Source organism: Homo sapiens, chromosome 11 (assembly GCF_000001405.40).
Source record: "Homo sapiens chromosome 11, GRCh38.p14 Primary Assembly".
Lineage (NCBI taxonomy): Eukaryota > Metazoa > Chordata > Mammalia > Primates > Hominidae > Homo > Homo sapiens.
In genome coordinates, this window is record NC_000011.10 from 61,640,390 (window position 1) to 61,649,206 (window position 8,817).

General features: G+C 47.7%; 1 annotated feature.

Annotated features, from left to right (window-relative positions):
* Positions 327-852: an enhancer, noted in NCBI's record as "H3K27ac hESC enhancer chr11:61408188-61408713 (GRCh37/hg19 assembly coordinates)". NCBI's record gives its function as "activates a minimal SCP1, AML or CMV promoter by ChIP-STARR-seq in naive H9 embryonic stem cells {active_cell/tissue: H9 hESC(naive)}" and the evidence as "EXISTENCE:reporter gene assay evidence [ECO:0000049][PMID:30033119]".

Sequence of the window (8,817 nt, forward strand, 5' to 3'; positions counted from 1 at the left end):
TATGGAGTAACCATTCTTTATTTGTTTACTTTCTTAATAAACTTGCCTTTACTTTACTGTATGGACTCACCCCGAGTCCTTTCTTGCATGAGGCCGAAAAAGCCTCTCTTGAGGTCTGGATCAGGACCCCTTTCCAGTAACAATGGGGCAGCCCATGACTTACTAAGCAAATGCACTCACCTCTCTGGGCCTTGGGGTCCTCCCCATTCAGGTCAGATATTTAGTTTAGTTTTATTTGTTTTATTGTTTTTGTTTTAAGACCATGTGGGGGCTAGTTCCCAGCTCTGGATGCCCATTGGATTCATTAAGTTTCCTTGGTCTGGGTGCATCCTGGACACTGGGATTTTTTTAAGCTTCCCAGGTGATTCTAATGAGCAGCAAGGTTTGCAAAGGGCCTCACAGGCTATGGTACAGAGATTAAACTTTATTCTGCTAGGTGACAAACCAGTGGTGGCTCCTCATGTCCCCCCAGCCCTAGGTCTACTCAGTTGCCTTTTGCTATTTATTAGATAAAATTGACCCCTTGGAAGTAAAAATTCAGTGGGGGATTAGCATATTCACAAGGTCGTACAACCATTACCATCAGATTCCAGAACATTCCATCCCCCCATAAAGCAACCCTGTAGTGGCCGGGCACGGTGGCTCACGCCTGTAATCCCAGCACTTTGGGAGACCGAGGCGGGTGGATCACGAGGTCAGGAGATTGAGACCATCCTGGCTAACATGGAGAAACCCCATCTCTACTAAAAATACAAAACAATTAGCGAGGCCTGGTGGCACGCACCTGTAATCCCAGCTACTCAGGAGGCTGAGGCAGGAGAATCTCTTGAACCCGGGAGGTGGAGGTTGCAGTGAGCCGAGATCGCACCACTGCACTCCAGCCTGGGTGACAGACTGAGATTCCGTCTCAAACAAAAAAAAAGAAGAAGAAGAAAAAAGAAAAATAAAAAAGCAACCCTGTAGTGATGAGCTTCCCATTTCCCCTCCCCCTAGCCCTTGGCAACCCTAACCTACTTTCTATCTCTACGGATTCACCTATTGCGGGCATTTCATATAAATGGAATCATACAATATCTGGCCTTTTTGTGTTTCATTTTTGCTCTTTTGTATTCTTCCCCTTGGCGTAATATTGTCAAACTTCATCCATGTCATAGTATGCATCAGGACTTCATTCCTGTTAACTGCTGAATAATATTCCATTGTATGGCTGGACCACATGTTTAAAATCTATTCATTGGTAGATAGATGGCTTTAAGGCTCTGGCATTCTCTTAGACAAGAGAAGCGACCGAGTTAACACAGGTGGTAGGGCTGAGAGAGGCATCAGAAAGCCCAGACCCTGCCTCTCGAGCCTGCAGGAAGGAAAATCCAGAGGAGAAGGGATGTGGAAACCAACTCCAGGGAGTTCCAAAGGAGCACAACAAGGTAGACCCTGAGCAGCCATGAGGGATGGGCCACACTTGTCCCCTCACCTCCCTCAGCAAAGGTAAACCAGGGATCTGGATAAAGCTATATCCACCAAGCTGCATCATCGAAGTAGTGCCGAAAACACAGAAATAACCTAAATGTCTAACGACAAGGAATTTATCCAAAAAACTATGGCGTGTCCATCCAAGGGACTACCAGGCAGTCAAAAATGATGCAGCATCGACTAACATTTATCGTGTGTGTGTGTGTGTGTGTGCGTGTGTGTGTGTGTGTATATATGGAGTTTTGCTCTTGTTGCCCAGGCTGGAGTGCAATGGCGCGATCTTGGCTCACTGCAACCTCCGCCTCCCGGGTTCAAGCAATTCTCCTGCCTCAGCCTCCAGAGTAGATGAGATTACAGGCGCCCACCACCACACCTGGCGAATTTTTGTATTTTTAGTAGAGATGGGGTTTCACCATGTTGGCCAGGCTGATCTCAAACTCCTGACTGCAGGTGATCCACCCGCCTGGGCCTCCCAAAGTGCTGGGATTATTTATAGTGTTTACTGTGCCAAGCCCTGTTTGCACATTTCACGTATTCTGATGCACTCAACTCTCACAATAATTCTACAGGTAAGTGCTTTTATGATCCTCATTTCACAAAGAGGAAATCGAAGCCGGGAATACTTATATAATTTGCCCAACATTGCACAGACAGACAGCAATAGAGCCGAGATTTGAACCAGGGTCCATTTGCTTAATTAATATCTCTGTTCCGTCCTGTCTCTGAAGGTATAATAAAAAAATATTTACTGACATGAGACAACACTGTTCACAAAATATTGGTGGAGTGAATAAATCGGGTTCTGGAACAGTATGCAGGGTATGAATCAAGACTTGAGGGAAATACGCCAGATTGCAAATCTGGGAGGTCTCCGCACATTCTGATTCTGAGTAATTTTTACTTCCTGCTCTGTGATTGTATTTCCCAGTCCTCCATGAAGACTATGTTTTTGTTTTCAATAAGAAAAGTATTTTATTTGATTCCCTTAAAAAAAATAAACCTTCGTATGTTGCCGGTGGGGATTCAGTGTGTTATATTCCCTATGGAGGGCAATTCTGCAATATTTATCAAAGTTGTAAATGTGTTTGCCCTCTGAGTCAGCAGTCCTGAGTCTACATTTTATTCTTATAGGTAGAGCCTAGCAAGGATGATGTACCAGGTTATTCACGGCAGCATGGCTTCTACTAACAAAAAATTGGAGGCTGGGCACGGTGGCTCACACCTGTAATCCCAGCACTTTGGGAGGTCAAGACGGGTGGATCACCTGAAGTGAGGAGTTCGAGAACAGCCTGGCCAACATGGCAAAACCCCGTCTCTACTAAATATACAAAAATTAGCTGGGCCTGGTGGTGTGCCCCTGTAATCCCAGCTACTCGGGAGGCTGAGGCAGGAGAATCACTTGAACCTGGGAGGCGGAGGTTGCAGTGAGCCGAGATCATGCCACTGCACTGCAGCCTGAGCAACAAGAGTGAAACTCCATCTCAAAAAAAAAAAAAAAGAAAAGAAAAGATTGGAGCCGGGTGCAGGCACTTTGGGAGGCTGAGGCAGAATGATTGCTTGAGCCCAGGAGTTCGAGACCAACCTGGGAAACATAGTGAGACCCCATCTCTATGAAAAACAAAAAGAAATTAGCCAGGCATGGTGGCGCATGCCTGTTGTCCCAGCTACTCGGGAGGCTGAGGTGGGAGGATTGCTTGAGCCTGGGAGGTCGAGGTTGCAACAAGCCATGGTTGTACCACTGCTCTAGACTGCGTGGGTGTCAGAGTGAGAACTTGTCTCAGAAAAAAAAAAGAAAAAAAAAGATTGGAAACAATATAAGTGTGCATTTTATCACGGTCTGATTAAACAAAGTATGGAAGGAATACTATTCAACAACAATAACAAAAAAGAACAAACAAGCTTCTTATACAGAGAGGGAAAGACCCCTGGGATAGTTTAATTAAAAAGGCCAGATACAGAACAGAGTGTTTATAATGTTACTACTTCTGTGTGAGAAAGAAGGGCATTATCTTAGTCAGTTTGAGATGTTATAACAGAATACTATCAACTGGGTGGCTTGGAAACTATAGAAATGTAGTTCTCAAAGTTCTGGAAGCTGGAAGTTCAAGACCAGGTGCCAGCATGGTTGGGTCTGGTGAGGGCCCCTTCTGGGTTGCAGACTGCCAACTTGCCACTGTGTCCTCACATGGCAGGAAGAGGACCAGAGAGCTCTCTGGGGTCCCTTTTATAAGGACACTGATCTCATTCATGAGGGCTACACGCTCATGACCCACTTACCTCCCAGAGTCCCCTCCTCCCAATACCATCACATTGAGGGTGGAGATTACACCATAGGAATTTGGGGGGTAGGAACGTAGGCATGTGGGGGACAGAGGAGACATAAACATCCAGCCCATGGCAGGAGGCAAGGAAAAAATCTATTTTTGCATCTCCTTGTTCTTTGTCTCAGAGACGCGGGAAGGCAGGGTGATAATCAAAATATTTAACAACCAGTGCAGAGCAGACCGCAGCAGCAGCAGCAGCTCTGAGAGAGGGACTTCCAAGGAACGGAAAAAGGGGTCATCTTAGAGACGGGAGACAAGCGAACAGGATGGGATGGAAACAAGACTTCTCAGTCCCTGCTTTTTTAAATTTTTATTTATTTATTTTTTTTGAGACGGAGTCTCACTCTGTCACCAGGCTGGAGCGTACTGGCGCAATCTCGGCCTCAGCTCACTGCAACCTCTGCCTCCTGGGTTCAAGCAATTCCCCTGCCTCAGCCTCCAGAGTAGCTGGGACTACAGGCATGTGCCACAAGGCCTTGCTAATTTTTTTTTTTTTTTGTATTTTAGTAGATACGGGGTTTCACCATGTTAGCCAGGATGGTCTTGATCTTCTGACCACGTGACCCACCCGCCTTGGCCTCCCAAAGTGCTGGGATTACAGGCATGAGACACCACGCCTGGCCCAGCCCCTGCTTTTTTATCCTGTTTTGATGTTTGGACCATGGGACTGTATTGCCTGGTGCAAAAATCATCATTCTTTTAAAAAGCACTGCACGTGGAAGAGTAGCTTTCCTTCCCTGTTCCCCACATCATGGAGGCATGGGGAGGCCTTGGAAGAGGAGAAGGTTTGGTGGACAGCAGTGAGCTCTGTGTGTTCCTGTAACACCTCGGCTACGTCTGTCAGTCTGTCTGTCCGGTGCTCCAGCTCAGGGGTGAAGCCTCGGACCTTCTCTGGGGGAGTTGCCCTCCATTATATTAGCTGAGGTATATAGAAGATGACACAGGGTAAGAGACAGGGTGCTTCTCCCCTCCTCAAAGACTCCTCAAGCTTTCTATTGGGGGCAAAGACCCTGGAGCTTCCTCAGCTGCCTTAGTGCAATGTCCAGCACGTAGTAGGCACTTAGTAAGCCTTCATTTAATTAACTGCTCCCCTGCCTGCCTGGTTGTTTCACCCTTTGGGTGGTAAGCCTCTTACTCACACAAATCTGCCCCTGTGGTTTAAGCCTCAGCTTTGCTGGTACAAGGGACCATATTATTATAATCAGATCATCAGATTACTTCCTCTTTGCATCTGGCAGAGATCAGTGCACTGAGCAAAGGGAAATGAAAGCACAAAGCATCCATCCCATTGGGCAGAAATTTATTAAGTACCCACTAAAAAATAAATGTATCAAGAACCTAAGCCTTGGGTCTAGGTTCTGCAACGCAGCATGCCTTGGACTACCTGTGCCAGGGCACTCCCTTTGCTCTGTGCACTCCCTCTGTGGGGGTGACAAGTGGCAGCTAACACTTACGGAGCACTCACAAGTGCCAGGCCCTGTGCCGAGCACTCCGTACACAATGTCTCACTCAATCCTCACAAGTGCTTTCGTGATTAGACATGTGCAGGAGCAAGCAACAGAAACAAGACCCAAACTGGCTTAAGCAAGAGGAGATTCTATTGGCTCACACAACCGCGGGTTAGTAAGCCTCGGTATGGTGGGATCAAAGCTCTGACTGTTTCTCTGACTTTCTTTTTCACACAAACTTCCCTCATGGCTGCGAGATGGCCACCAGGAGCAGCTGGACAGAATGCTTCCTATTCCTGTCCAGCAGGAGAGACTGAACTTCCCAGGGCTTGCTTTCCAGAATGAGGAAGATGCCTTCCCAAAAGTCCCAAGTAAGCCTCCCTTTACATCTCACCTCGTTAGCCCAAATTGGCTTAGACCTGCCCATCCCATAATCCAATAATTATTTTATTTTAGACGGAGTCTCACTCTGTCACCCAGGCTGGAGTGCAGTTGCGCGCTCTTGGCTCACTGCAACCTTTGCCTCCCGGGTTCAAGCGATTCTCCTGCCTCAGCCTCCCGAGTAGCTGGGACTACAGGCACATGCCACCACCCCTGGGTAATTTTTTGTGTTTTTAGCAGAGATGAGGTTTTACCGTGTTAGCCAGGATGCTCTCGATCTCCTGACCTTGTGATCCGCCTGCCTGGGCCTCCCAAAGTGCTGGGATTACAGGCGTGAGCCACCGCGCCCGGACTCCATTAATTCTTAACCCTGACTGCTCATCAGAATTCACAGGAAGTTTTTGAAAAAATATTGATGCCTAGGCACCACCGTGGCCCTATCAAATCAGAAACTTTGTGGGTGAAGCCCAGGCCTCAGCATTTTTAAAAACTTCCCAGGTATTTCTTTTTTCTTTTTTTTTTTTGCGACAGAATCTTGCTCTATTGCCAGGCTGGAGTGCAGTGGCCTGATCTCAGTCCACTGCAACCTCCACCTCCTTGGTTCAAGCGATTCTTGTGCCTCAGCCTCCCGAGTAGCTGGAATTACAGGCGCCTGCCACCACGCCCGGCTAATTTTTGTATTTTTAGTAGAGATGGGGTTTCACCATGTTAGTAGGGCTGGTCTCAAACTCCTGACCTCAGGTGATCTGCCCGTCTCGGCCCCCCAAAGTGCTGGGATTATGAGCCAAACCACCGCGCCTGGCCCTTCCCAGGTATTTCTAATGCGCAGTGAGTGCCCCAGGGTTAGACCTTGGGCATTGTCTCCAAAGGAGGTCACCTGCTCAGTGACAGGGAACCTGGCCCAACTGATGACAACTGATGACAACATTCATTGGGAAGCTTCACACCTGCGGCCCACTGCCCGAAGTGTACCAGCAATTAATAATTCTAATAAATCCTATAATTTTCTTGTGAATAGCATAATTATATTGCTTGGCAATTTGTGTGTGTGCTAAAAGCATTAATTTGTTAAATGTAAACATCTAAAACATGCCACAATCATCGTAAGCCGTATTAGCATGTCTTGATTTTTTTAAAAAACCAGGAGTGGCCGGGTGCGGTGGCTCACGCCTGTAATCCCAGCACTTTTGGAGGCCGAGGCGGGCGGATCACGACGTCTGGAGATCGAGACCATCCTGGCCAACATGGTGAAACCCCGTCTCTACTAAAAATACAAAAATTAGCCGGGTGTGGTGGTGCACGCCTGTAGTCCCAGCTACTCGGGAAGCTGAGGCAGGAGAATCCCTCGAACCTGGGAGGAGGAGGTTGCGGTGAGCAGAGGTTGCGCCATTGCACTCCAACCTGGGCAACAGAGTGAGACTCCAAAAAAAAACAAACAAACCAACAAAAAAAACAATAAAACCCAGGAGTTTCCAAAACTGGAAGGAGCTCGGGGCCACTCTTGGCTTCTAGAGAGTTCCCACCCTGATATCTGGCCACAGGCTGGGTTGCCCAGCCCTGGGCCCTTCCCTTCTGTGAAAGTTTGAGTTCTTGATCCCAATTCTTCATTACCCTGTAGTGGTGTTTAGCATTTTACCCATCAACCGTGGCCTCCTTGTGGATGGAGTGTACTCTCTTCTTCTAGACTTTCAGCTTGATCATGTGACTTGCCAGGACTTGCTGTTCAGACGTGAACAGAAGCTGAAACTAGCTTTCCTGGTTCCTTATGCTTTTGCTGTAGCCACTGGAAGAATAAATACCTCCCAGATGGCTGCTGCTGCCCCTTCAGTCCAGGCCTGTGATGGTTAATTTTATAGGCTTAACTGGGCTAAGGGTATCCAGATAGCTGGTATTATTTCTGGGCGTGTCTGTGAGAGTGTTTCTGGAAAAGAATAGCATTTTAATCAATGGACTGAGTAAAGAAGGTTGCTCTTAGGCCAGGCGTGGTGGCTCACATCTGTGATCCCAGCACTTTGGGAGGTTGAGGCAGGTGGATCACTTGAGGTCAGGAGTTGGAGACTAGCCTGGCCAATATGGCGAAACCCCATCTCTACTAAAAATACAGAAATTAGCAGGGCATGGTGGTGCATGCCTGTAATCCCAGCTACTCGGGGGGCTGATGCAGGAGAATCTCTTGAACCTGGGAGGCAAAGGTTGCAGTGAGCCAATATCGCGCCACTGCACTCCAGCCTAGGTGACAGAGCGAGACTCCATTTCAGAAAATAAATAAATAAATAAAAGAAGGTTGTTCTCGCCAAAAGGGGTGGGCAGCACCCAGTCCCATTAAGTGCCTGAATACAACAGAAAGGCAGAGGAAGGGAGAAGTCTCTGTCTCTTCTTGAGCTGGGACATCCACGTGCTCCTGGTTCTTGGGCCTTCAGATTCAGTCTGAATTACATATATGACTAGCTTTCCTGGTCCTCAGCTTGCAGACGGCAGATCGTGGGACTTCTTGGCCTCTATCATCACGCGAGCCAATTTTCATAATAAATCTCCTCATCTGTATACACATACACACTATCGGTTCCATTTCTCTGGAGATCCTTGACTATTATCGGGCCCCAGGGTGAGACATGCAGCTGGGCTGAGCTGGACCCACCATCTGCAGCAAAGCCACACAGCCAAGTCCGACCAAGTTGCAGGCCTGTGGGCCTGCGAATAGATGATTGCTGATTTAAGCCACTGAGCTTTGGGGTGACGTACAGCATTATCACAGCATTAGTTACCTAATATACCTTCTCAAACTGTGCTGTGCACAGACATATCAGCCCTTTGACCTCAGAGAACTTAAGGAGCCTAGCACAGTGGAGGAGAGTGAGTGGACAGGGAACATTTCCCTTCTGGAACCCGATGTTAGCATCTAGCCTTTACAAGGGTTATGGCCAGGCCATAGTCTAAGCACAGTGATTACAAGCATTTTTCTTTTTTCTTTTTTTTTTTTTTTGAGATAGAGTCTCACTCTGTCACCCAGGCTGGAGTGCAGTGGCACAATCTTGGCTCACTGCAACCTCCGCCTCCCGGGTTCAAGCGATTCTCCTGCCTCAGCCTCCCAAGTAGCTGGGATTACAGGCGCCTGCCACTACGCCTGGCTAATTTTTGAATTTTTAGTGGAGACAAAGTTTCACCATGTTGGCCAGGCTGGTCTTGAACTCCTG